This window comes from Homo sapiens, chromosome 4, assembly GCF_000001405.40.
Source record: "Homo sapiens chromosome 4, GRCh38.p14 Primary Assembly".
In the NCBI taxonomy this organism is placed as follows: domain Eukaryota; kingdom Metazoa; phylum Chordata; class Mammalia; order Primates; family Hominidae; genus Homo; species Homo sapiens.
The window spans coordinates 87,958,371-87,984,228 of record NC_000004.12 but is presented as its reverse complement, the minus strand read 5'-3'; the positions used below and the strand labels follow the sequence as shown (position 1 = coordinate 87,984,228).

Here is a 25,858-nt window from a genome sequence, read left to right as displayed (position 1 = left end):
ACCAGTGTACGAGTGTCCTTCTTTCCCCGAATCCTGGCCTGTGTCTGTTATTTTTTGTCTCTTTGATAAAAGCCATTTTAGCTTGGGTGGGATGATATCTCATTGTGGTTGTGATTTGCATTTTCCTGGTGATTAGTGATGTTGAGCATTTTTCTGTATACCTGTTGGCCATTTGCATGTCTTCTTTTGAGAAATGTCTATTCAGATTTGTGCCCATTTTAAATTGGATTATTTGAGTTGTCTTTTTTTTTCTTTTTTTTTTGATATTAAGTTGTTTGAGTTCCTTATGTATTCTGGATTTTAATTCCTTCTTAGATGTATAGTTTGTGCATGTTTTCTCTTGGTATTTTTGACAACATAGGCGAACCTAGAGGATGTTAAGTTAAATAAGCCAAGCACAGAAGGAAGAGTACTGCATGATCTCACTCATATGTGGAATCTAGAAAAGTTGACCTCATAGAAGTAGAGAGTAGAATAGTGATTACCAGCGGCTGGGAGAGTGGGAAGGTGGATGAGGGGAGGTTAGTCAATGGGTACAAAGTTACAGTTAGCTAGGAGGAATAAATTCTAGTATTCTATTGCAAAGTAGCTTGGCTATAGTCAATAATAATGTATTGTATACTTCAAAATAGCTAGAAAAGAGGATTGAATGTTCTCAGCACAAATAAATGACAAGTGTTTCAGGTGATGGATATGATAATTACCCTTTGATAATTATACAATGTATATATGTAACAAAACATCACACCGTACCCCATAAATATGTACACTTATTATGTATCAATTGAAACCAAAATAAACCTTTAAAAACATTATATAGGCAGTAAAAAAGGTTATGTTTTATTAATTGCTGGACAACCGTGGGAAAACAAATAAGCAATTGACACCACCAAATTCTTATTACATTCAAGATAAAAGATTTATTCACACCACAAAAAGATAATCACAACAAAATATACACTAACTTAAAAAACAAAAGATTATAGTGACATAAAATGTTATATTCTCTTTTTAAGTGGGTAAAAGTATTTTGTTTGCTTCTACATAAATTTCTATTCATGAGAGAATAACAAATATTAAAATACAGTGATAGTTTGCATTTCTTCTATAGAATGAACATAGACATAACCCTGAAGCTTTTAGTTTACAGGGAGTTTCCATGAAGCCACAAACTAAACTAATTATCAAACACATTAGTTATTTCCAGACTCAAATAGATACACATTCAACCAATAAACTGAGAAAGAAGCATTTCATGTTCTCTTTCATTTTGCTATAAAGCATTTTTTCTTTTGACTAAATGCAAAGTGAGAAATTGTATTTTTTCTCCTTTTAATTGACCTCAGAAGATGCACTATCTAATTCATGAGAAATACGAAATTTCAGGTGTTTATCTTCTTCCTTACTTTTGGGGTCTACAACCAGCATATCTTCATGGCTGTGAAATTCATGGCTGTGGAATTCACGGCTGACTTTGGAAAGTTCCTGACTATCAATCACATCGGAATGCTCATTGCTCTCATCATTGGCTTTCCGCTTATATAATCTGGACTGCTTGTGGCTGTGGGTTTCAGCACTCTGGTCATCCAGCTGACTCGTTTCATAACTGTCCTTCCCACGGCTGTCCCAATCAGAAGGCGCGTTCAGGTCCTGGGCAACGGGGATGGCCTTGTATGCACCATTCAACTCCTCGCTTTCCATGTGTGAGGTGATGTCCTCGTCTGTAGCATCAGGGTACTGAATCACGGCACAAATGAAGAATAATTATATGAACGGCTAGGGATGGGAATATGGTAATCCTTTTCCACTCTCTAGCTTTTAGGTCATCTTATACTAAAAATTGTCTAAATCTGGCTGAAATAATACTAGCATGTTACTTTGTATAGTACTTTACCAAGGCCTTTCACATATGTCATCTCATTTAGTTTAATAACTACATCACTTACATATGTAATGAAACCTATGAGGTAGGTTTCATTATATTGAAACCTACATAAAGAGGAAGTGAATTGTTAGTTAAAAAGTAAAGAGAATAGTAAACGGCAAGGCTATGTCAAATCCAGATTCTGTGACTAAGGATTCAGTGTAATTTGCAACTACAATTCCTCTTAGGTATTTAACTTCAAAACATGACCATTATTTTTTTTAAATAATTGGTGTTTTCCATTTATTTTAATCTGAAAATAAGTGATCCAGGATTTCAAAAAGTAGAATTGTGTTTGAGAATCAAATCTAGAGAGAAATTATGTAGACTTACAAAAACCGCCAAGCAGAAAAAGATTTGTATTCAATGGTCATAAAGTAGAATATGAATGAATTCTTGCTGAATGGATGAATGAATGGATGAATGAATGAATGAATATGCAAACTGTGGTTTCCTAGACTTGAGCGCTAGTCAGAACCATCAGGTGTGTCTGTTAAAGGATTTACCTGGATGTCAGGTCTGCGAAACTTCTTAGATTTTGACCTCAGTCCATAAACCACACTATCACCTCGGCCATCATATGTGTCTACTGTGGGGACAACTGGAGTGAAAACTTCGGTTGCTGGCAGGTCCGTGGGAAAATCAGTGACCAGTTCATCAGATTCATCAGAATGGTGAGACTCATCAGACTGGTGAGAATCATCAGTGTCATCTACATCATCAGAGTCGTTCGAGTCAATGGAGTCCTGGCTGTCCACATGGTCATCATCATCTTCATCATCCATATCATCCATGTGGTCATGGCTTTCGTTGGACTTACTTGGAAGGGTCTGAAAATTAAGATGGCCGGGAAAATTAATATATGGGTTTTTATTTTCCCTTAGCCTTTATAGCACATTAGTCTTTTACTATCTTTCTTTTTATTTAGTTTCAGAATCTTTGCATTCACAGTACATACCATGGCTTTTAGGAGCTAAAGTGAGCATCTTCCAATTTCTCTTTTAACACAGGGATTAATAACATTCTGAAGAACATTTCTTACTTTGCAACAGAAATTATTTTTATAGATATTTTCAAGCCAAATATGTGAGTATAATCTTCATGTCAATAACATTGTTTTTCCTTATACATATTAAACATTATTTACTAAATTCAATGATGTAATAGATACAGATACATAATTATGAGACTGGTTTTTTTATTTGAAATGAGATTTATCAAAAGAGAAGAGTATCCATATTTTAATGTGTGTACTAAAATCTATAACCACTTTCCTATTAACATGGATAATTGAAAGGTGACTCTGTTATGCATGTGTGTATAAACTGCAGCTCAAAACTGCCCATTGAATTAAACAACTAATGTCTATCAAATTTCAAATTGACAAATATATTGGGTAATTTATCTAACTTGCTTTAATATTCTTAGTATATTCAAATTGAATCTTAAGGAAAATAAATTTACTCTTTGCTTAGCAAATATATGAATGATCCTAATAAAAAGAATAGTTGTCAAATAAACTATTTTATTAGGAAAGAAAACTTTCCTAAAGGCAAAATCTTAGCTTTGATATGCATTAATTAGATGCTTATTAGATATTAGATATCTACAAAATACCTTAAATAAATTGCAAGCAGATTAATGTTTCAAATAACAGGCATTAATAAACATCTTCTGTAATGCTAAACTTATCCGAGGAAACCTAGTATTTCTGATATTTAGTAAATACATGTTTTATTTATGAGCAAGTTTTAGACTGCCAATTAGCTGGAAAACTTGCTAATGAAATTTCATCAGAAGAGAATCCAGGCAATGCCTTCTTTCATCTCTTCAAGGCATGATGGGCCTCTGATTGAAAATGAGAACTTACCTCTTGTTTAAAGTCATTGGTTTCTTCAGAGGACACAGCATTCTGAAGAAGGAATGGCACGTGTTAGTGCGCATCACACATGCCTAGCTTTTTTATTCAAAAGTTAACCTTTTTAATCCAAAGCAGTTTTTATTTTTCAGCCTCATCTGTGGATGGCTTAACACAGAGAGAAGCCAACATGGCAGATCAGTCAATGTCCTAAGCACATGTTTGCCAGCAGGCAGGCAGGATTCATCTGAGCAGCCCAAATGGCCTGAGTGTGGCTATCTTTCATCACTGTAGTTTAATTATGAGAAGTTTAAAAATACCTGTGGGGCTAGGAGATTCTGCTTCTGAGATGGGTCAGGGTTTAGCCATGTGGCCACAGCATCTGGGTATTTGTTGTAAAGCTACAAAAAAGTTGCATGTTTATCATTATTAAAAAAAGAAATGTAGGGATGAATGGAAAAAACAACCATTCTTCACTAGTCTTGATGGAAGCATATAGTCACCCGGACCCTTAGGTACCTTTTTGTAATTTTTTTTTTTTTGCAGATTCATTTAACAAACTCTTATGTAGCACTTACTGTGGGCTAGGCACTCTTTCAAATTGCTTTACAAATATGAACTCATTTGATCCTTTCATTCCCCTATGAGATAGGTATCATTATTATTCCCACCTTACAGATCAGAAAACTCAGCCACAGTGCAGTTAAGTGGTAGGAAATGGCAGAGCCAGGCAGGGTTCAAACGCAGGCAAACTAGCTCTTAACACCGAACTTCACACTGTGCTTTCTTTTTGTATGTTTGCTGGCTGAATTTTCCTCTCAGATAAAGCACATCTAAACCAGAAGTGACCTTAATTACTGTTAATCTTCATTGTGTCCAGTCCATGGAACAAGAAGGAACTCTCTAAGACTGTGCTAATTCAGTATCCTCTAACCACATGGAGCTATTTAAATTTAAGTTAATTAAAATGAAATGGCTAGGCACGGTGGCTCACCCCTGTAATCCCAGCACTTTGGGAGGCCGAGGCAGGCGGATCACGAGGTCAGGAGATCGAGAACATCCTGGCTAACACAGTGAAACCCCGTTTCTACTAAAAAAAATAAAAATAAAAAAAAATAGCCGGGCGTGGTGGCAGGCACCTGTACCCCCAGCTACTGGGGAGGCTGAGGCAAGAGAATGGCGTGAACCCAGGAGGCAGAGCTTGCAGTGAGCCAAGATTGCGCCACTGCACTCCAGCCTGGGTGACAGAGCAAGACTCCATCTCAAAAAAAAAAAAAAAAAAAAAGAAGATAAAAATTCAGTTCCTCAGTTGCACTAGCCCACATTTTGAGTGCTCAATAGCCATATGTATCTTATCAGCCAATGTAGAAATATAATATTAAAATCATTGCACAAAAGTTCTATTGCTGTAAGGTGCCAAAGATGTAAATGAAATGGATTTTTCTTTAGCCAAGTTATTTATCTGGAAAATACTGATAATATGCTACTGCAAAGGAGTGGAAATTGCTCTGAGTAAGTATCATCTGATCTGCTGAATCATCCAGGGCCAATCATTACATTTCCCTGTCACTGAGAATGAGAACTCTGGGGGTTGCACAGAGTTCCTTCTGCAGCCACCTAAGGGGTGGATGAGTAGAGAGAGAACCAGTCAGAAGTACTTGGAGTTTCTCTCATGGCTGGCTCTAACCAGAGGAGCTTAGTATTGGGCTTCTCCGAAAGGTTTTGCTGAAAGAAGGGGTTCCTTGCTTTAAGAAGATGAAAAAACAGCCGGGCGCAGTGGCTCACGCCTGTAATCCCAGCACTTTGGGAGGCCAAGGAGGGTGGATCACGAGGTCAGGAGATGGAGACCATCCTGGCTAACACGGTGAAACCCCGTCTCTACTAAAAATACAAAAAATTATCCGGGCGTGGTGGCGGGCGCCTGTAGTCCCAGCTACTCAGGAGAATGGGGTGAACCTGGGAGGCGGAGCTTGCAGTGAGCCGAGATCACACCACTGCACTCCAGCCTGGGCGACGGAGCGAGACTCCGTCTCAAAAAAAAAAAAAAAAAAAAAAAAAGAAGGCGGAAAAACAGTGAGACCAGATGAGTTCAGAGTTTTTCTCTTCACTTTTTCATATCTATCTATCTATTCTCATGACACATGTAATACAGGCTCAGAGAGAATGGATGTATAAGTTACATTTATAATTTTTAAAAACTAATATGAAGAAAATAAAGGTAAGCAAAATGAATAGACTAAAAACCACCCAGTAATCCTAACACTCACAGATAACCAGTGTGTATTTTCAGGCATATATCCTTAGAGACTTCCCCAATTTTTTACTAGCTTTAAGTTTCTGGGATTCTAGAAGGCTGAGCCTTGAGCTCTTCACGTATTTCTTAAATTGTTATAGCTCCACGTGCCTTCTAAAATGCATCTTTGCCATATTTTCGTTTATTAAAAAGACGCTAATTCTTGCCTCAAATAGTATGACCTCTATCTTCTCTGGAGATGTTAATTTTTCTGGTTTATTATTAGGATTCAACACCTGTATTTTCAAATCAGTTGAAAAACAGACACACACACCCCTCCACACACAAACGAACACAGAATACTTCTTTTAATGTCTTCATTAAGCAGTCTAATTGCAGTGACCCCCAAGGCAGCTCTATTTTGGCCTTTATTCTGTTCAACTGGAATTGAACTCTGTGTGCCTTTTTGTCCAAGCTTCTGGGGACAATGCCCATTTGTTGTTTGGCTGGCACAGTTTCATCTGTTGTGGAGGGGTAGGTACATCTTTAGTGCTGGTCAAATAATTATAATAAAGAGTTTGGTTGGTCTTATGTTTGGTTAGAAAATGTGATCTAACATCAGCTGACAATCACAATAGATACAAACAGCACACATAGACTTTCTTTTCACAATGGGCTTCTCAGCTAATATCTCAGACAATATTGTGAATATTATGGTCATACAAACAGTTCTGACTAATATCCAATGTGAATTTTAAACTTAGCAATCCACTAAACAAAGCAAAAGCTGGAATTTTCTGCTTTTAGATCAGTATGTGGACTAATGGAAAAAAAGTCACACAACTTCATATAACTTATCTTACATGCGATAACTCATCATACATGCCTAGATATTATTATATTTAAAATATCTGGGTTGGTTTTATAAACTTATATTTATTAAAAACTATACTGTGCTTGGTACTGGCCTAGATTCATAGCAGGCAGTCAATCAATACTTGTAAACCAATGGATTTGACTGAGAAGATAAGTAATATCGCAGCAAATACGTTTCTTGCACCTCTCGCCATAATTGAGTAAATGATTTAACTATATAAAAACATAAAAGATGCTTACCTGCTTTTCCTCAGAACTTCCAGAATCAGCCTGTTTAACCTTAGAAACAGAAAAGATGAAGAAAGATTACAAGAATGTCCTCCTAGCACATGGAAGCACACAATTCAGTTATTTTCAGGAATTTTCTTTAAGATGCAACTGTACTCACTGGTATGGCACAGGTGATGCCTAGGAGGCAAAAGCAAATCACTGCAATTCTCATGGTAGTGAGTTTTCCTGCAAAATATTTCATAAGGAATAGCTGACATCTTCATAGGTTACAACAGTGATACCTTTTTATACTACCACATTACAAAATGATCACAAATAAAATATATTTTCTATAGAATCTTTTCTACTTCTTAGAGATGCCTTTTCTTTTTAGTATTATAGTCTTTCAAGTTAATATTTATATTGCCACCTATTATCCATCTTTCACTATTAGGCAAGGGAAAGGGAAATTTTGCAAGTCTGTATTTATTCAACTTTAAAATTTAGAGTTCCAGAAATTATACCATTACTACCTTATATATCTAGCTCTCTAAACCTACAAACAGATCAACAGTAACTTAATTATATTAATAAGCTAGTATGGGAATATTTTTTAGAGAAGAAAAAACTCACAGAAAAAAATGAAAAAAATTTGCTTTATCCATTTTTCCAACATGTACTTTAAATGTGACTTTTAGCTTAATTATCAAGTAGGTGCTACTTAGGTGAAATCAAACTATCTCTGAAATTTGTTATTTAAGTAAGATGTTCTAAAAATTTGAAATTCAAAGGAAAACATTGAAAATAGCCAACAGCTTTTCTATTTGTAATAATAAGCCTACACAGTGTCATACAGGTATCTTGGTGAATATTTTAACAGCTAAATTTAGCAGTGGCATATTCAGAAAGGGTTTTCTTCCCCTTAAAAGTGAGATACATCATTTAAAAAATAGCATTGTAATTGGTTTAATTAGCATAAAAGATCCCTTTTCTTTTAAATTCCTGCACAGTCACCCACTGAAAATTATATAGGTATAATTATTCCAAAGGGGAATTTAATTTTACTATTTTCTGATTAGCATCGGTGGTTTCCGTTCTTTTGAGGACCCAGTGGAAGTATTTTTAAGTTTTAAATTTGATTGGCATTCAAAATATCTAGACACCTTTGTTCCAGGAGACCTGCAATGTATCTAATCTGCTTATTAAAAAGGCTAGAAAATTTAAGTCTGTTTAACAGCATTACAATTAAAAATATTTTTCCTTAGAATTTGGACTTCCCCATGAAATTCAGCTGAATGCACAACCCAGTAGCAAACTGAAGCTGTACCTTGGTCGGCGTTTGGCTGAGAAGGCTGCAACTGGCCTGAGACGAGTCTGGTCCCGACGATGCTGTGCTCTGCCTCCTCCTGCTGCTGCTGACAACCAAGCCCTCCCAGAATTTAAATGCTGCTGCAGACATCCTCCACCAACACAGGGAGGCGGAGAGATTGTGTCATGAGGTTTTCTGCCACTGCCCAGCCCACCTGCTCCCACACTTCCCCCTCTGGTTTTGTGGTTAAAACAAAAAAAAACAAAAACGCACACACACAATCTACAGTTAAAACATTACTTATGTACAATATCATTAACTAGCTTTTTCATTTACGGGATGGGCATTCAGCATCCAGGAAGAGCACTTAGGGATCCCATGAAAAAGGGAGAAAGTAGGGAAAAACATTAATGTAAAATTAAATAGAATGGATTTTTGTTTCTTTCGGTTTAAGTAACATAAAGGTAATATCTGCAACCACTCTTGCCTGTATGATTGTACTTATTGAAGAGCCAGAAGGCTATTGTTCAAGCCTGCAAGGAGTTCAGAAAACTTGCCTCTGTCCTTTACTACTCAAGCTTAGCTTTGTGATTTCGAGTATGCAGTAGCTTGTTACTTAGACAAATGGCACTAGTGACATTAAAATATAAAATTCTATATGAAATAGAAGAATGGTAATTTATTCTAGATGTTGCAGAAGTAAAGCAGTTTCTGACTGAGAGCAGGATGACTGCTTGAGAGGGCTGCTTCAGGAGCCAGACCGTGGTTCTGAATTCCGCTGTGTCACTGCTGACCTGTGCAACCTTGGGCAAATCGCCCAGCCTACCTATCCTTGTTCCCTCATCCATGAAATGCAATACTATTACCTAGGTCATGGGGTTTTTGAGGGGTTTAAATGAATTAGTATGTTAAACTAGCAATGCTTAGCACATATTAGATGCAAATGCTCTGCGTATCTTAAGGACTATATGTGTGTTAACTATTATGAAATTTTTAAGAGGGGCAGGCAGTCACGAATTGTAATGTCCTTTAAAAGAACAGGTTATTAAAATGAGAGTAGACGTAAGATCTTTAAATTGTATGCATCAATAAGGAAATTTTGCACATTTCTAAAGGAACAGATTCGATTTTGGAATCATCTTTTTTTCTAGTTTTTCTCCCAAGGTATGTAAAGTAGGCCACTTAAAAAGAAAAACATTTTTAAAAATTTCTGTATTAAAAAACACTTTACTAGGTATTTAAAAGGTGTCTGAATGAAAGAAAATTACAGGGAAAGTCCGAATATTAGAGCAGAATTCAGGGATAGCAGAGCTCTGGGTCCTTTTAAAATATTTAATATTGCCTTGAGATTACTTATCTTCATTTGCTTTCTCAGTTGTGAAATGCAGATTGCACTATTTATTTACCTTACACCTTTATTGTTAAGACTTGTGTGTAATTGAGATGAAAAATAAATGGTCCTATTTATTATTAGGTTGCTGCAAAAGTAATTGTGGTTTTTATTAGTCCTAAAGTGTCAGCTTCCTTTTGCCAAATATTACTTTTAATATAAATATAGATTAAATAATGTCTTGCAGTGATAGTGTATAGCTAATTCATAGGTTTCATGAACATTTGGTAGGGGGAAATATGTCTCCCTTAAATTGGATGTATTCCAGATGAATTGATATGATTGGTTTGTAGGTAATAAGCACCCATTTTAATAAGTAAGATGACGACTATCTCTATAAAATAGAAAGCACACAGATTATAAAGTTGCAAAATAGACTTCTTTTTTCTGCTTCTAAAAACTATTTTTTTCCTTTAAACATACCCGCATAAGCGTGTCATGTTGTCAATTTAGTGGAGGGAAGTCTGAAAATTCTAAAAACAACAAAATTTCCACAGGATTTACTGTAGTTTACTCTGTGCCCACGGGAATGATTCAATATGAAGCTAGAATTAATTATAGGAATAGATTATGCTGGAGCCCAGCCATCTTGAGATGAACCATACGACCCTTTACAGGACTCTTCTGGTCATAGCTCCGCAGTGCCACACGATGGCAGCATTTCTGAAAAAAGATTTCAGACCACAATCTGGTTCTACCAATTTTCTTAATTCCAGCGGGATAGAACACTCCTGTATTTAATGACAGGACTATATACAGCTGTGGAGCTCTCCATTTCTTGGAATGCCAGGTGAGGAAATATTTCCCAACAATGACCCGCTATGCAATCAGGGACAGAGACCCAGAGAACCAAAGCGTTCTTGTTTTGCTCTGTTGTTGCCTTAGGCAATCCCAAGTTGACACTATTGTCTCCTTCCCGACTTCTACACTCATTCAAAAAGTTCCTAGTCCCAAGGCCTCTCTCAGAGAAAAGGCTTGTGAATTCACGGGTAAAGAATGTGTCTGGGATGCTTTGGAGTTGAGAAGATAAAGTGATTTATAATGGGAGGCAATTCTGTAAAGTAGGAAATGGATGCTGCGTCATTCTGACTATCGGGGAGGTCATGTTTTGGGATGTTTCTTGCTGTTTGCACTCAAACATGCTGCTGCTGGTTGTTTTTTCTGAGTAGGATTTTCTGTCAGAATTAACATGTTAAATGATTTAAATCACAGTGGCTCTATCTGTAATATTTCCAAAGTTTCCATTCTTGATTGGCTAATGATTGGTTGTTAGAATCAAAAGGTCAAAATGCACAAATTCCCTATAAATCTTGTGAGTGGAAAGTAAAAAAAGTTTAGTTGTCAAACTAGAATGCAAAGAGTAATTTGTGATCTTAAATTATACACACTAAGAGGACACATGGAAACAAATAAAGAGCCTTAAGGTCTTTTTCCTGAATTACATGAAAATTCCCATATAATAAAAAGTAAGTGTTCAATGTCACTACTTTGGTGGACAACTTTATTAAACTCACTTCCAGTTTATTTGAACATTTCTAATTATATTTTACTTAGTAAAGTGTAACCAACTATTTCAGTGTTTTCAGCTCCACAGGTAATTATTTTTTTCCCTTGAGTCAAGGTTCAGACATGACTCTGATATTTTGGTAACACCACTAATCTGTCATAAAGAAGTTTGGAATTAAAGCTAATCGGAAGCCTAGCACCATTCATCATATATAGACTGGGAAAAGGGGCATTATTTATCACAGGGTAGCAAGCAAAGGTGGATGATAAGAGGGTGCTATTTTCAAGTTCAGACATGAAATTAGAGCATTTCAGAAATACAAAAAAAAAAAAACAAAAACACCATAAACTCTTTTATTCCATTGCTCAATAGCTTAGACAACAAAAGTCAGCTCCTGACAAAGTGGTCGTACCATTGGTAAACATTAGTTTCAATTTAAAACAAATAAAAAAAAGTTTTCCTTTAGACACATAGAACTGTTATGGAGTAAGTGCTCAATAAATTGTTGGTGATTGCCCACTCAGCCCTGCATCTATGACACGAATTCTGACCTTATAGTTTTTGCTTATGAATACAATGCATAGGCACTATGCTTGAATTCAGAGTATATCTCATATATTGATATCTAATATCTGCCTGTACTCAAGAATCTAGCATTTATTTCTTCATTAAAGTAGTATTAGTAACTCTGAGGACATTCTAATGCTCTTTAAATGATAGACTTTTTTAAGGTAGACTTAAATTACTAACTTTTTTTTCTTAAATGACACCATTCTTACCCTCATGGAGCCCATTTGTTCATGAAAATCAACTAGGAAATTTGAAACTTGAGTAACCAATGAGATTAAGGGGGTGTGGCTAAACAGTAAACTTGGCAGCACCCTGGGTAGAGAAGGTATATGGTAGAGACCCTGTGTCCACATTGGAGTTGAAGGGATGGGTATTCTGGGATTGGATCCAAACAGAAAGTCCCCCTTCCCACTCAACATCAACCACAGCAGCATAAACTCGAGACCTATAACAACCTGGGGAACAATAGAGGAGGCTGTAATCAGAGAGGATCCAAAGAGGGAGATAGAACAAGGTGGAAAAGCACAAATAGAAAGTCTAGCAGCTGCAGGAGGACCTTGTTTGTTCAGAAAAAGACATTTTGTGGCAATAAGCGGTCAGTGACAGTCATTTTGCAGATATATTTGAGGGGAGAAAATCATTCTCCGAAATTGGTTTATGAGAATTCTTGCTTAAAATCTGATGTTTGAGTAATTTTTGGTAGAGAATCTATCATAAGGTTGATATGAAAAGGTGACAATTTCAGTGCAAAAGAGAAAACAAAATCAAAAGAAAGGGGAGTAAAACTAGACAACAAAAGCAGCTCAGTCAGATATTTTTCTGGTTACACTTGGCTAAGGTTTTTTGTTTCGACAATTCTTGTCAAGGCATAGTTTACATTAATGCCCCTATCCCATAGCATAACATTTATGTTTCTTAAACCTGTAATTTAAAATATTCTATATTAAAATTTGATTTCTTCTTTAATGTTTGAATTCCTCATAGAGTGTAAGTTCCATGATATGCTAATCCCTCTGCAGATTATGTGCCAAAAATATTTATTCAGTGAAGAAATTTAGCTCAATTATGACATGTATATAGTTCTTACATAAATTGAGTTATTCTTGCTGATTATTTTCTGTTGCCTTCATAAAGCCCCAGATTAAACATATTTATTTATTTTTGAGACAGTGTCTCACTCTGTCACCCAGGCTGAAGTGCAGTGGCACGATCTCGGCTCACTGCAACCTCTGCCTCCTGGGTTCAAGCGATTCTTGTGCCTCAGCCTTCCAAGTAGCTGGGATTACAGGCATGCACCACCATGCCCAGCTAATTTTTTTTTTTTTTTTTTTTTAGTAGAGATGAAATTTTATCATGTTGGCCAGGGTGGTCTCAAACTCCTGGCCTTGAGTGATTGGCCCACCTCAGCCTCCCAAAGTGCTGGGATTACAGGCATCAACCACCGCTCCCGGCCTCCTGAATTAAACGTCTTCAGATTCCAATATAGATAGTGTTCCGCTTGAGTGAATTACACCTGAGAACTTCAGGCATGCTTCCTGTGCCTAAAAAGGACTGCCCAGGTGATTGCTATTTCTTACATAACATGAGGTCCTCTGGGGTCTGGCATTCTTCTGTCTCTCCAGCCTTATTTCTGCCCAACTTCTCTCCTTGTACTCCCTAAAACAATCATGCAGAGCCATGTGGGTTCCCCAGTGTGTCATTCTATTTCAGGTCTCCATGCCTTTACTCACATTGCATGGTCCTTATATCTAGAATATCCCTCCAGTCTCATCCGCACCTGTCTCTGAAATATTTGCACATCATGCATCAAAGCATCCCCTATAAAACCTTTTCTGGTCTAAATAGAAATAACCAACTCCCACTTTTTAACTCCTTCTGCAGCCTGCACTTGATCTAGCATAGCACCGATGAAGCTTTATTGCCTTAAATGTTTGTCCTCCTCACGCTAAAAAGCAAACTCCCAGCAGTCAGGGACTGGGATTTATTCATGTTTGTATCCACAGTTTCCTGTTAGGTGCTCTGTAAATGTTTAGAGGAACAAGTGAATGAAGGAGCATTATTTTAATAATGTTTAATCCCATGGTAGCCCAGGTAGCATGTGAGTTTAGTATAAACTCCAAGAGGCTGGAGCTTCTACTGGGTTCTTAAAATAATTTATGTATACATTTTAAAAATGCCATTGCAGAATTTGAAGAGCCTAGATTTTCTTGTCTCCCATCTCAAATTCTTTTCTATGGGGTTCTGGCATATCCTTTCTCTTGTCTAGGTCTCAAGTTCCTTGATAGAGTTAATCTGGATTATTTTAGAGGTCCATTTCAGCTCTAAAATTTTGTGATTTATGTTTCCTTTTCAAGTTCATGAGGAATAAAATATTGACACTACAACAAGAGGAGTAAACAGATGGTAGAAGTAGAGATGCTCTTGAGAGAAGTTCACACTGAAGAAAGATTTTAACTCAAAGAGTCTTTAATAGACCAGGGGACAGGTGAAGTCGAAGAGTTATGATGTTTTTAAGTAAAATATCATGTGTTTTGCTATATTTTAAACTATAGATAAAAATTAATGAGCATTATTATAATACTACTAATAAAAATAAAACTTTTTTTTAAAAAAAGGAGGTAAATCAATCCCAACCTACAATTTTAATAAATCAATCTTTCATGTTCTGAGAATTTTTTATTCTTACCTCCCACAATATGGGTTTTCTAGAGGCATTTTCCCAGTATGGGTCACATGAATTTCTTTCAGATTTCATTACCCAGAGTAGGGGATTGAGGAGAAACTGACTGAAGAGATTGGCTTGCCTCTTTCCTGGAAAATGCCTCTTGTGGTTTTTGGGGGTAGTTTTATTGCCAAACAGGTCAGGCATATAGGGCTTCGCCATAATCTGGAGATGTTTTTAGATTTTTCTTTCCCGCATTCACATCTCCTTCATTTCCAAGCATCTGTGGATTTTATTAGTCTAGATAACCTATTAATTTCACTTTGTATCTAATGATATTGTTCACGAGTCATCCAGAATCAGTTTGCCCTCTTTTCAGCCATTTCATGCTTAACGCAATTTCTGCTGCTTGTTTTTTCCCTAAGAAACAAGGGAATTTTCTGGTAATTATTATGCCCTTAACATTTACTTTTTCTACAGTAACAAAGAGTGAGCCCAAAACTTCTGTCTTTGCCTTTTAAAAGGAGAGATATTCAAAATAATAACAACAATAATAACAACAATAATGGTAATTGTATATATATTTATGGGACACCTGTAAAGTACTAGATTTAAAAATATGCATTTTGTCTAATATTCATAACGATGACATAAGTTTGGTATTATGACCTCAATTTTTTCACATAACTATAATAGAAGCCATTTAATGTGCCGGTCACTTCTGTTTACCTGATTGCATTTACTCTTTGCATAAATATTAGGTGTATATTTACAGGGCCAGTAGGGTTCCAGGGAAGGAAGTGTTTAGTTCTACACATCAGTGTTAAGAAAAGCTTTCAAGAGGATGCTAAGATGCAGCTCAGTTGAGGAGCTAATATTTAGAGACAAACTTATTTATTTATTTATTTGAGACAAGATCTTGCTCAGTCACCCATGCTGGAGTGCAGTGGTGTGATCGCGGCTCACTGTAGCCTCGACCTCCCAGGCTCAGGCGCTCTTCCTGCCTTAGCCTTCCCAGTAGCTTAGACTATAGGTGTGCACCACCAGACCTGGCTGATTTTTAAATTTTTGTAGAGACGAGGTCTCCCTATGTTGCCCAGGCTGGTCTCAAACTCCTGGACTCAAAGATCCTCCTGCCTCAGCTCCCAAAATGCCTCCCAAAGTGGTCTTGGGGTTGAAAGCGCGAGCCCGCATGCCTGGCCCCAGAGACTAACTTCTAAGATGTGAATCAAAATTATAAGCATCCAAATTTGACCAAACTTGGTTAAAATGAAAAGAAAAAAACAAAAAACAAAAACAAAAACCCAAATAACCATACAACAAAAGCTGTAAGTTCCAATGATACCGAAGAGAGAAATTTTGTAAGGATTTTCAAAAATCTTGCCTCTAACAAGTTCAAATCTAAGAAGAACAAAAGCTTAATTTTTTCACATATGCCACCCAGCTAACGCCATGCTATGGTCATGAGCCATACAGTGTGGGAGAGTGTCAGTATGTCTCTGCTAATCTCAAACAGCTGTGAATCACCAGTTCAAAACACACACCTACTGATTATGGGTTAATATCATTAGCTTCATTCTTAATAGATACAATGATCTTAAATATTAGTTTTCTTGACTCTCTAAACTTTGAACAAATTGCTTATTGTATTTTAACAAGTATCATATTTCTACAGAAAGACATGTTTCATAGTTGGTCTTATGCCTTACCACATTTGAATTCTATGTAGCACCTACCATAATAATTGTGCAGGTACTGTTGGCTGTACACCAAAGATGTGTTGTCTTCAGAGTAGTTGCTGGGAAGCAGCTGCCCAGCTGAAACTACATTTCTCAGCCTCCCTTGCATTTAGATGTGGCCATATGTCTAGTTCTTGCTAAGGGAATGTAAAACAAAGTGATGTGTTTCCCTTCCAGGCGGAAGTGCCTAAAAACTTCAAAAAGCGTGCCTCCCCCATAGTCTTCTTCCTTACCCTTTCACCAGATGAAGAGGACTGAAGCATTTTGGATAGCAGAGCCCAGGGAGAACATGACTTGAGCTGTCTGCTGATCTGGAACCCTAGCATTAGATATCGTATTGTTACAGGATCTTTGGAGTGTTGCTTTTTTGGCCAGAAACATACAGCCGGTGGTGCCTTTGCCTCTGGCCCACTGGACTCATTCTGCCCACTCAGCCTGGCAGGCTGTGTTCAGCTCATGCTACTGGCCTGGATCCCATGCCTCCAAGGGATGCCGCGAGTCAGGCATGGAGTGGCAATGGGGTGTGAATGAGCATAGAGTCTGGCCACTGTGCAGTCAGACACGCCAGCTGCTGCTGCGGGGCAGGAAGCTCCAGGTGCCGACATGGGCGCCAGCTCTCTTCAAGGCTGTGGCTGGACCAGCGCCCCACAGGCAGCTGTCCTGGCTCATACTAGGGAATGTGGTGGTGCCCAGAGGCTCAGAGACACCAGGGACCACAGGGTCTCAAAAAGGGAGTCACAGCCCTAGCTCAGGGAGATCCCAGGTCTAGGCTCCCTGAAGGGCTGCAGCTCTTCTCTCCTCTTTGCCCACCAACAAAACGAGCAAGGGGCATATTTCAGCTCTGTTTGTGTTACAGCTCTTTTAGCATCACCATTCCACAAGTCCTGAGTTCTTGTCCTGTGACCAGGAAGAATGAGGTACATAGACAAGTGGAGGGTGAGGAAGACGAAGAGGAGTTTTATTGAGCAACAGAACACCTCAGGGAAGACTCACAGTGGGCAGCTCCTCTCCATAGCTAGGGTGTCCTGACGAGTGTTCAGCTCCTATCAGAGATATAGGCAGGTCATCCCGAAAAGTGTTCAGTTCTCAGCAGAGTGGGTATCTCCTCTCTGCTGCTGGCTGTCCCTTCATCTCTCCATCCTCTGCCCTGGTGTTGCTGAGCCCAGGGCATTTATGGACCTCAGAGGTGAAGAAGTGCACACCAATTGGTCCATGGGCAACCATGGGCAGGCCTGGAAAAGACACCACGAGTCTCCGCTCCAGTCTGTGGGACTGGCAGCCTGGCCCCCAGCCTTCAGGCTCTCCCTGGCCTGAAAATGGGGCCTCACCTGGACCTGCCCCCTTCTGCCCAGGAGCCGGTCTGCCTCCTGTGGCTGTCCATGGCACCCAGGCTGCTTGCACAAAGGGGCACTTGCAAGCCAGCACTGAGCTGCCCTCATCCTCACCTCCACTTCCCTCCCCGCAACACTCATCAGTGCCCAAAGTCTGGAGGAGGCCGAGGTGGCAGGGGGCTGGTGTGTCAGTGCTGTCCGGAGCATGCGCACAGCCAGCTGGGCTGTGACAGCTCTCCGGCTTGGCCCCAACCCCACTCCAAGATTGGAGTGGGTGCCAGGAGTGGGGAGAGACCAGGCAGCAGGAGCAGACAGGCCCCCTAGGGTGCAGACTGCACAGACTCCCAGGTCCTGCTCCTGGGAGGGCGGGGCTTTTGCCCACCCAGCTCACAGCCTTGTCTGAGGGGGACCCTTTGGGAGTGGATCAGGGCCTGGCCTGGCAGTTGAGAGTGTCAGGCCCGGTGATCACCTCAATGCGGGACGGAACCCCTGGACACAGCCCCAGTCAGCCCTGTGCAGAGCCTTCTCCTGACGTGCAGGAACTTGGCTTGGTGGGGTGGGTGCTGTCACTGCAAAAATTGGCTGGGTCCTGAAGCGGGCACTGCTCCCACTTCCAGCCATGGGGCCCTGAAGCACACCCCAGGTCAGCGCCTTGGCTCGGCCACCACGCTCTGTGTGCAAGCGTCACACTGCCCTGGACCCAGTTCTGCCTTGGGGACCCTCTCTGCCTGACAGCTGCTCCCCTGCCCATGGGCGACTTGGCCTGGCCCCATCGTGGTGGCCCCCAGGGCTGTGGGCTTCGGGGACTGTCTGCCTCTTCCACACATCCTCCCTGCAGCAGCAGAGGGTGACAGCAGCAACGCGGGGCCAGGGGCTGAGCTACGGAGGCTCTGGGCCTGGGGATAGGTCCTGCCCTGCAGTGCTAGGGTCCCGGTGGCGTAGTCGGCTGCCTCCCAGACATTGGACATAGGGCACAGGGGTACCCCCTCCCCCGCAACCCGCCACTACTGCTCCCACAGCCGCTCCTGCCACCACCGCTGGCGCCTCCCAGCTGCAGCTGGCAAGATGACAGCAACCGCTCCGGATGGCCCACCGTTGCCATCAGTATGAATGAGAAATAAGTTTCTATTGCCTTTAGTGCCTGACATCTGTTACGATAGCAGATGTTACCTTAATTAACACAATGCCATATGCATAATATTGCTCAGTTCATAGCTTTTGGATTTTATCGTCTGTGTTCCAGGTCACTAGACTCATGAAACGGAATTTAAGTTATGGTGCTATAACTTTATATGTATCTATTTTCTATTAATTTTTGCTCCCCCATTTCTAAAAGCCAGAATAAGTTCATGCGAGGTTACTAATATGTTAAAATTGAAGTTGATTATTTTATACAATAAGTATGTGACTAATTTTTTCCACAAGGAGATGGTATGCAATATCAGTAGATAAGTGATTAGGATAGCGGGCTTCTCTTGATCCTCTGTTTTTGTTTTTCCCACTTTTGCAAGAAGAGAATCAGCTGTGGTATAGGTTTTAGTGGATAGTGTCCCATGTTGGGAATCTGGGAACCTGAATTTTATCTTGCCTATACCACATAATTAAATATTGTTAAGTTGGCTTATTTCTGAGAAGAAAGAGGCTACAGCTGCCTTCCACTAAATGATAAATTCATCTCGCAACTTCTGAATCGTTCACACAGCATCATTTGCTTTTACTTCTTAGTTAGGCCACCTGTTTTTTGGATACCTTTTGCTTTTTGACCTTCTAACAAGTAGCCAGTGGCAGTTAGAGATCAAGTTAAATTGTCCAGGCTTGGTCCTCAAGTCTGTAATCCCAGCACTTTGATTGCTTGTGCTTAGGAGTTCAAGACCAGCCTGGTCAACATGGCAAAAACCCTGTCTCTATGAAAATAAATAAATAAATAAATAAATAAGAGATCAAGTTAAAATCAACCCATCTAGTTATATTTGAGAACTTAAAGTCATGTTCTCTGAAGGTTTTGAATGACTTCCGTTTACTAGTAAGGATGTGTTCACAGATTAATTTTAGTCTTAGTTGCCTCTCACCAGATCAAATATTGTGTGGGAGGTAAATTCTAGGAAACCTGAAGAATTTTAAAGCACTCTACCATCCTCATATGGAGATGACCATAATTAAAGGAAACAGTAGCTTATGTCAGAAACTGTTTATTGTTGGGAGCTGAAGCTTTGACCCTTTCCTGTATATTTATTTCACTGATATTCCTAAACCTTTGGTGGTCTTTTGGTCTGTGGGTCATAGCTGGGCTAAGGGGTTAGCCAGAGTTCTTAGTGAAGTAGCAAAAGAGGTTATGTGTGACATATCAGCAGAGTGGGTACACCCATTTGTCTGGGTTGGGGAGGAAGTGGAGGCTGGGATCAGTAAAGTGGCCTTTTTCTGTTTTTAGACAGTGCCAAAGCATCTCAGACTGGGGTTTCAGCTTTATTTTTGTTTACGAGGAGTTGGTTCAGACACAAGTGAAATTGTGGTGTCTTAACCTCTAGTAAGATTGAAAACATACATGTTGTTTCATCAAGCTTGGTCTCTTAGGAACCCGGTTTATCGTAGAGATGATGTTATTCTGAATTTAGAAGGAAAAGGGTGACAGAGTTTCATTACAAAGATTATAAAGATGATGATTACAAAGATTACAAACATTTTGTAATCGCTGACTAGAATATAAATGAGTATAAAAATTTTACTTTTTAAGAAGGATAGAAATCCTACATACAGTAAATCTATTTTTCTAAAACATGTTTTACTTCCACAGCAGTTTTATAAAATTGGCAGCTGACTTATTTTTTGTGGTCCTATCTTCTAGCCTGAGTGTTAACCAGGTGGACAGGCAGATTAGGATTAGGAAATAAGATCAATTAAACTTTTATCCTATAGTACCAGGTTTGAGCGGGTACATGGTTGTGTGTAGATCTTTCTTTCACACACAGGATTTGAGTGTTTTTTTTTTTTAACAAAAATTTATGAAACATAAAAGTATAGAGTAAACAGTTGAGGAATTTACTAAAAGAAAGCTAAGAATTCAGAAAGAATTCTAAAAGAAAGCTAAGTGTTGGAGTAAATATTGCACAAAATATAAAACATTTAGTTCTATACATTGGCATGTAAATGTTAATTTTAGTTGCTTTGAAACAACAAAATAAAAATATCAATTTCAGTTATGGTTTAAAAATACACATTGTATGTATCCATGCAGTTAACCAAAATGCATTTTTGAAAAAAAAGGGTGATAAGAATCCTAAAAGATAAAAATGAGACCTCTATTAAAAATAGTATTTCCTATCTAGCACTATGATTCCAGTCCTAGACTCTCCCAGCTGGAAGAGAGATGGTAGGAAGGCAGGGCATTGAGAAAAAAGGGGATGGTTCTTGACTTGTGGCTTCATTTCAGCTCTAAGACAACTTAAATTCTAAAAGTGCAGAAAATCACAAGGAATGAAGATTAGAGCAGATTTAGTTCAAATAAAAAAAGATGCCCTCAATGACAGTCAATTCCATGTATTCAGAAAGCAGTACTGGAATTGACATTATGAGGTGGGGAGGTGGGTTTCTTCTTGGCAGCTGGCTCTTTTCTGATGTGTTCAAGCTTCTAATCAGATGAAACTAGAAGACTTCAGCTGCTTGCATCATTTGTCTTTATCTTTCTAGATCAGGAGTTCAAAAGCCCTTTGCCCAAATCCATTCATAGATTATTTTTGTAAATGAAGTTTTATTGGAACATGGCCATACCCATTCATTTACGCGTCATTTATGTTGTAGCTTTAGTGCTGTAACAGTAAAGTTGCATAGTTGTGATAGAGACCATATGGCCTGCAAAGCCTAAAATATTTGCTCTCTGACAGAAAAAGTTTGCTCACCTCTATTCCAGATGAAATATCTTTTTAATTTTAGTCTATTCTTTAGCTCAAGTATATGAGTGAATCCTTCACCCTCATCCCTACCCTGTCATTTCTAGTTACATCAAGTCAGTTTTGAGGTGCAATGGACTGTGTTCGATATACTGTGTCAGATGCATGAGCATAGCTCTGAACCATTCAATACAATGCTTTCTCTTTTGTTTTCATGCATCCTGATAATGCCTTGCGTTATGGTCGGCATGGGTCACTGAATCAATGATATTAGGGATAAGTATTTAATGATCTTTTGATCCCTTTCTGGTAATAAGTAACAGTTCCTTTTACAAAATCTTGTACTTTGAATTTGTACCAGGTATAAATAATCCTACTTGCATTTGACATGTAACTTATCTGACACTTGTCTTTTACTTACCTGTTAATTTTTTTGCCTTTTCTTTACAGTCTCTTATGGATAGTTCTGTAGTTATCCCTGTTGTCCTCACTTTCTTTAAAAAAAAAATTTTTTTTTGAGACACGGTCTTGCTTAGTCATCCAGGCTGGAGTGCAGTGGCCCAGTCATGACTCACTGCTGCCTTGACCTCCTAGGCTCAAGAGATTCTCCCACCTCAGCTACCTGAGTAGCTGGAACTACAGGCCATGTGCCACCTTGCCCAGCTAATTTTTTTTTTTTTTTGGTAGAGATGAGGTCTGACTATGTTGCCCAGGCTGGTCTCATGTTCTCACTTTCACTAATCAAAGATCTTAGAATCATTTGTAAATCTTTGAATTGTAATAAGAATAATATCAGTATCTTTAATATGCATGGTCCTTTAAAAATTTGAAGTACTTTCAGATTGACTGTCTAAATTGATGCTTGTAACTGTGTTTGCTTCTGGGAAAGGGATCTGATTGGCTAGAGGAAAGAATGGGAGGGAAACAAATTTTCAGAGAAATAATTTTTATAGCTTTTAAATTTTGTATAATGTGTGCATTAGCTACCTATTGCTGAGTAGCAAATTACCACCAGTTTAACAGATTAAAGCAACACACATATATTATCTCAGAGTTTCTGTGGGTCAGGAATGCAGGCACAGCTTAACTACGTTCTCTGTATCAGAGTGTCTCACGAAGCTGGTATTAAAGTGTCAGTCAGGGTTCAGTCTCATTCAAAGGCTTGGTTGTGGAAGGATCTGCTTCCAAGCTTACATAGTTGTTGGCAGGATTCAGTTCCTTGAGGACTATTGGACTGAGGGCCTCAGTTCCCACTTATCTGTTTGCTGGAGGCATCCCTACTTCTCCGACATGACAACTCGCTTTATCAAAGCACACAAGCTGAGAAGGCAATAGAGGAGTCTGCTTGCAAAACAGAAGTCAAAATTTTGTGTTACCTAATCATGAAAATGTCATCCCATTATTTTTGCCATATTAGATTCCTTAGAACAAGTTGTTAGGCCATCCCACACTCAAGGGGAGCGAATTACATGGGGGCATGAATACCACAAATTGGGGATCACGGTGGGCTATTTTAGACTCAGCCCAGCACAAAGAATATGTATTACCTATTTAGTAAAATTAAATAAATAAAAGTGCTTTTAGATATCCAAGACTTTTAAATGAAAATGCAAGTCTCAGTACAATATGTAAAATATGACTCAATTTTTGTAAATAAAAAAGAACATGTGCACATACACACACATATAAAAATGTACACAAAATGGTGAGAATGCTACACATCCAATGGTCAGCAATGATTATGCCTATGGAGCAGAGTGAGAGACGAATGGGTATAAAGAAACTTTCACAATTGAATCTACCTCTTCTCAACACAATAAGAAAGGAATTATGGTCATTTTATTAATACAAAGTTGTAGAGGATAAATGGTTTTTCAATGGCATATACTTACTTAATTGCAGGACCAGGTCTCAGAAGATGGTTTGCCTGAACAGCCAAGATTTTTCTATCCAAGTTATTTATTTTTAAACCAAATTGTTTTATTCAAATAATTTATTAAAAAGTTTAAAAGATTATTTATAAGAATGATAAATACTAGTTTCTCCACTGATACCGAGCACATCTTATTGGGTGGCCATCACCATTCAATATGTCTGATCACCAAGACATTTTTTAACCCATGATAAAACAGAAATTTATATTTAACCCTATGGTAAGTACTATGGTTTGAATGTGTTTGTCTCCTACAATACTCATGCTGAAATTTATCCCCAGTTCAACAGTATTGGGAGCTGTGGCCTTTAGGTGATTGAGTCATGAGGAGTCCGCCCTCATATAAGTGGGATTAAGTGTCCTTATCAAAGAGTTTGACAGAATTTTGCCCCTCTTGTGCCCTTCTCCCTTATACCAAGTGAGAACACAGCATTTCTGTCCTTTGGAAGATACAGCAACAAGGCACCATCTTGGAAACAGAGAGAAGCCCTCACCAGACAACCAAACCTGCCAGTGCCTTCATCTTGGACTTCCCAGCCTCCAGAACTTTGATAAATAAATGTCTGTTCTTTATAAATTATCCAGTTTTAGGAATTTTGTTATAGCAGCACAAATGGACTTAGACAATAGGGATGCCAGATTTAGCAAAGGAAAATATGGCATTTCCCACCTGTCGGTAGTGAAGGGATCTTTTCCAGCAGACCCATCAGCTCTCAAGTTTCCCCTTTTGGGGAGGAGAAAGCTCCTCATGTCCCATGGTCCTGTACATGCCTAATTCTGTTACCCATAGCGATCAGCAAAGAGTGCAAGGCAGATTAATCCAAAGAGGATAGTAGTTAACATCCCATAGTGCCAAACCCATTCTTAGCCACAGGGACTTTACTGAGAGGGGACTCTAACTCCCTAAATCTTAGGAAGGACTCTAACCTTCCTAAATTGGGCCTCAGACCCAAGTTTGGTCAAGCATCCTTGCATTTTCTTAAGAAGAGCCTTTTACCCACCCTGTTTTAGGAGAGACTGTAACTCCCCTAAATTGGGCCTCTAACCCAATTCCATCCTTTACCCAGGTATATGCACCCTACTTACCCAAAGTCAGCCAATTGGTACACACAGATGATTTTCCCTTGGGTCGGGGTATCTTCAATATTGTCCCTTCAGGGTTTGCCAGGAAGATGCTACTGGACTCCATCACTTACCCAAAGGTAGCCTTTGAGTTGGGGGTTTCCTCACTATAGTACCTTCCGTGGTCACCAGAAAGATGTTACCAGAAAGGGATCTGGATCCAGACCCCAAGAGAGGGTTCTTGTACGTCATGCAAGAAATAATTCAGAGCAAGTCCGTAGAGTGAAAGTGAGTTTATTAAGGAAGTAAAGGAATAAAAGAATGGCTACTCCATAGACAGAGAACCCTGTTATAGGAGTTTTTAAGGGAAGGACTAAAGGTAAGAAAGTGCCAAATTTAGTAAAAACAGACCAAGTTGTTATAAATGTTCATTGTTTTGACTAAAGATAAGAAAGTATCAATTGGATAAGAAGAGAGCAAGTTGCTGTGAATGTCTATTAGCTTATAAACTTTACTGTTTTGGGGGTGGTTTTTAACACATCCTAGAATTTTTTTTTAAATAAGATATAATGAGTGCTTAAGGTAAGAATATTTTTGAAACTGAGAAATTATTTTACAATACTTTATAAAAGTTGAACATTACATTTTTTTTGAGTCTTCATCATCTTTTCTATTCTTCTAAATAGTCATTAAACATCTCTGTGGGAGTATAAAGAAATAATGTAATTTGGCAGAATGTGATTTACCAGTGTAAGTTTGTCAAATTTGGCTTTATGACTATATTCCAGGAAAGCAGAAAAGCAAAACTCAATAAGGAAATAGTCTGCAACTAAATTTCAATAAATGTCCCAAAGCATGGAGCATTTGTGTCAAGGTCCTTTGCACATTAATTTAATATATTTTCTTTTGCAATTTTAAACACACTATTCCTTGAAGCTTATCCCCATGATGTAATATCACTGGATGACTGACCAGCTACTACATGAGTTCTAAAATTTCTACTTTTTTGATTGAGTAGTAGCTCTCTGATGGGAAAGGATGACTGTGTGTAGCCACAGAAAAGTGGAAGAGAAAATGGGAATGTACTAATGTCTTAGTCCATTTCTGTTGCTTATAACAAAATACCGGAAACTGGAAAATTTATAAAGAAAAGGAATTTATTTCTTACAGTTATGGAGGCTGAGGAGCTCAAGACCAGCCCTAGTAACATAGTAAGACCCCATCTCTACAAAAAATTAGCCAAGCACAGTGGTGTGCGTCTGTAGTTCCAGCCACTTGGGAGGCTGAGGCAGGAGGATTGCCAAAGCCCAGGAGTTTAAGGCCACAGTGAGCTATGATTGTACTACTGCACTCTAGCCATGGTGAGTGAG

The 25,858-nt window shown here is 38.8% G+C and overlaps 1 protein-coding gene and 1 long non-coding RNA gene across 6 annotated transcripts, besides 26 other annotated features; one reads left to right on the top strand and one right to left on the bottom strand.

Moving 5' to 3' along the window:
• On the bottom strand, positions 818 to 8,515 carry SPP1 (secreted phosphoprotein 1). Of its 5 annotated transcripts, NM_001251830.2 has the most exons (8): positions 8,429 to 8,515; positions 7,280 to 7,347; positions 7,132 to 7,170; positions 6,379 to 6,567; positions 4,103 to 4,183; positions 3,795 to 3,836; positions 2,431 to 2,754; positions 818 to 1,737 (listed from the first exon to the last, which is right to left on the bottom strand). In NM_001251830.2, the coding sequence occupies exons 4-8, from the start codon at positions 6,508 to 6,510 to the stop codon at positions 1,333 to 1,335; spliced, it is 984 nt and encodes a 327-aa protein (NP_001238759.1). In that variant the 5' UTR covers positions 6,511 to 6,567; positions 7,132 to 7,170; positions 7,280 to 7,347; positions 8,429 to 8,515; the 3' UTR covers positions 818 to 1,332. The 5 variants fall into 5 exon arrangements, with proteins under 5 accessions (NP_001238759.1, NP_001035147.1, NP_000573.1 ...); NM_001040058.2 differs by lacking the exon at positions 6,379 to 6,567; NM_000582.3 differs by lacking the exons at positions 3,795 to 3,836; positions 6,379 to 6,567.
• Positions 7,348 to 7,377: a protein binding site, noted in NCBI's record as "CEBP intron 1 probe". NCBI's record gives its function as "positive regulation of promoter activity" and the evidence as "EXISTENCE:protein binding evidence [ECO:0000024][PMID:12837040]".
• Positions 7,348 to 10,761: a biological region, named in NCBI's record as "SPP1 5' regulatory region". NCBI's record gives its function as "regulatory_interactions: SPP1".
• Positions 8,362 to 8,390: a protein binding site, noted in NCBI's record as "OPN/NF-kappaB site". NCBI's record gives its function as "positive regulation of promoter activity; antagonized by Brms1" and the evidence as "EXISTENCE:protein binding evidence [ECO:0000024][PMID:17227585]".
• Positions 8,375 to 8,874: an enhancer, noted in NCBI's record as "H3K27ac hESC enhancer chr4:88896507-88897006 (GRCh37/hg19 assembly coordinates)". NCBI's record gives its function as "activates a minimal SCP1, AML or CMV promoter by ChIP-STARR-seq in naive and primed H9 embryonic stem cells {active_cell/tissue: H9 hESC(naive and primed)}" and the evidence as "EXISTENCE:reporter gene assay evidence [ECO:0000049][PMID:30033119]".
• Positions 8,429 to 8,642: a promoter, noted in NCBI's record as "-124 to +90 fragment for core promoter". NCBI's record gives the evidence for it as "EXISTENCE:reporter gene assay evidence [ECO:0000049][PMID:7785924]".
• Positions 8,432 to 9,519: a promoter, noted in NCBI's record as "-1000 promoter fragment". NCBI's record gives the evidence for it as "EXISTENCE:reporter gene assay evidence [ECO:0000049][PMID:11861425]".
• Positions 8,519 to 10,761: a promoter, noted in NCBI's record as "-2267 promoter fragment". NCBI's record gives the evidence for it as "EXISTENCE:reporter gene assay evidence [ECO:0000049][PMID:23774402]".
• Positions 8,520 to 8,529: a transcriptional cis regulatory region, noted in NCBI's record as "TIE2 site". NCBI's record gives its function as "mediates inhibition by transforming growth factor beta" and the evidence as "EXISTENCE:site-directed mutagenesis evidence [ECO:0005528][PMID:26584547]".
• Positions 8,536 to 8,568: a protein binding site, noted in NCBI's record as "RE-1b; -50 to -19". NCBI's record gives the evidence for it as "EXISTENCE:protein binding evidence [ECO:0000024][PMID:11126367]".
• Positions 8,542 to 8,612: an enhancer, noted in NCBI's record as "RE-1; -94 to -24". NCBI's record gives the evidence for it as "EXISTENCE:reporter gene assay evidence [ECO:0000049][PMID:11126367]".
• Positions 8,564 to 8,573: a transcriptional cis regulatory region, noted in NCBI's record as "TIE1 site". NCBI's record gives its function as "mediates inhibition by transforming growth factor beta" and the evidence as "EXISTENCE:site-directed mutagenesis evidence [ECO:0005528][PMID:26584547]".
• Positions 8,569 to 8,614: a protein binding site, noted in NCBI's record as "RE-1a; -96 to -51". NCBI's record gives the evidence for it as "EXISTENCE:protein binding evidence [ECO:0000024][PMID:11126367]".
• Positions 8,572 to 8,597: a protein binding site, noted in NCBI's record as "-78 to -54". NCBI's record gives the evidence for it as "EXISTENCE:protein binding evidence [ECO:0000024][PMID:15479859, PMID:16009426]".
• Positions 8,583 to 8,603: a protein binding site, noted in NCBI's record as "AP-1 site". NCBI's record gives the evidence for it as "EXISTENCE:protein binding evidence [ECO:0000024][PMID:20609221]".
• Positions 8,599 to 8,626: a protein binding site, noted in NCBI's record as "-108 to -80 Sp1 site". NCBI's record gives its function as "positive regulation of promoter activity" and the evidence as "EXISTENCE:protein binding evidence [ECO:0000024][PMID:17689681]".
• Positions 8,623 to 8,648: a protein binding site, noted in NCBI's record as "EBS". NCBI's record gives its function as "positive regulation of promoter activity" and the evidence as "EXISTENCE:protein binding evidence [ECO:0000024][PMID:21669963]".
• Positions 8,646 to 8,665: a protein binding site, noted in NCBI's record as "-147 to -127". NCBI's record gives the evidence for it as "EXISTENCE:protein binding evidence [ECO:0000024][PMID:14712233]".
• Positions 8,646 to 8,665: a protein binding site, noted in NCBI's record as "-147 to -127". NCBI's record gives the evidence for it as "EXISTENCE:protein binding evidence [ECO:0000024][PMID:14712233]".
• Positions 8,656 to 8,689: a protein binding site, noted in NCBI's record as "-172 to -137". NCBI's record gives the evidence for it as "EXISTENCE:protein binding evidence [ECO:0000024][PMID:15479859]".
• Positions 8,661 to 8,684: a protein binding site, noted in NCBI's record as "-155 SRY site". NCBI's record gives the evidence for it as "EXISTENCE:protein binding evidence [ECO:0000024][PMID:26201802]".
• Positions 8,748 to 8,763: a transcriptional cis regulatory region, noted in NCBI's record as "OPN/GLI site". NCBI's record gives its function as "mediates hedgehog-induction of promoter activity" and the evidence as "EXISTENCE:site-directed mutagenesis evidence [ECO:0005528][PMID:19556240]".
• Positions 8,948 to 8,977: a protein binding site, noted in NCBI's record as "-443 site". NCBI's record gives the evidence for it as "EXISTENCE:protein binding evidence [ECO:0000024][PMID:18459127]".
• Positions 9,201 to 9,209: a transcriptional cis regulatory region, noted in NCBI's record as "ERRE-S2". NCBI's record gives its function as "mediates induction by estrogen related receptor alpha" and the evidence as "EXISTENCE:site-directed mutagenesis evidence [ECO:0005528][PMID:23680656]".
• Positions 9,237 to 9,257: an enhancer, noted in NCBI's record as "RAE (ras-Activated Enhancer)". NCBI's record gives the evidence for it as "EXISTENCE:reporter gene assay evidence [ECO:0000049][PMID:12650610]".
• Positions 9,276 to 9,284: a transcriptional cis regulatory region, noted in NCBI's record as "ERRE-S1". NCBI's record gives its function as "mediates induction by estrogen related receptor alpha" and the evidence as "EXISTENCE:site-directed mutagenesis evidence [ECO:0005528][PMID:23680656]".
• Positions 9,500 to 9,509: a transcriptional cis regulatory region, noted in NCBI's record as "A/T element". NCBI's record gives its function as "mediates regulation by peroxisome proliferator activated receptor gamma" and the evidence as "EXISTENCE:site-directed mutagenesis evidence [ECO:0005528][PMID:11861425]".
• On the top strand, positions 10,460 to 24,006 carry LOC124900730 (uncharacterized). Its single transcript, XR_007058172.1, has 2 exons — positions 10,460 to 10,590; positions 23,846 to 24,006. It is a non-coding gene; the product is annotated as an uncharacterized LOC124900730 (long non-coding RNA).
• Positions 24,007 to 25,858: the final 1,852 nt, after the last annotated feature.

Excerpts from the sequence above, each read along its gene's own strand:
- SPP1 (NM_001251830.2), bottom strand. The coding sequence starts at position 6,510 with ATGGGCATTGTCCCCAGAAGCTTGGACAAAAAGGCACACAGAGTTCAA. Across the intron at positions 3,837-4,102 it reads AGAATCTCCTAGCCCCACAG|AATGCTGTGTCCTCTGAAGA; the intron begins GTATTTTTAAAC and ends TTCCTTCTTCAG. Across the intron at positions 2,755-3,794 it reads CCAATGACTTTAAACAAGAG|ACCCTTCCAAGTAAGTCCAA; the intron begins GTAAGTTCTCAT and ends CTTAATTTTCAG.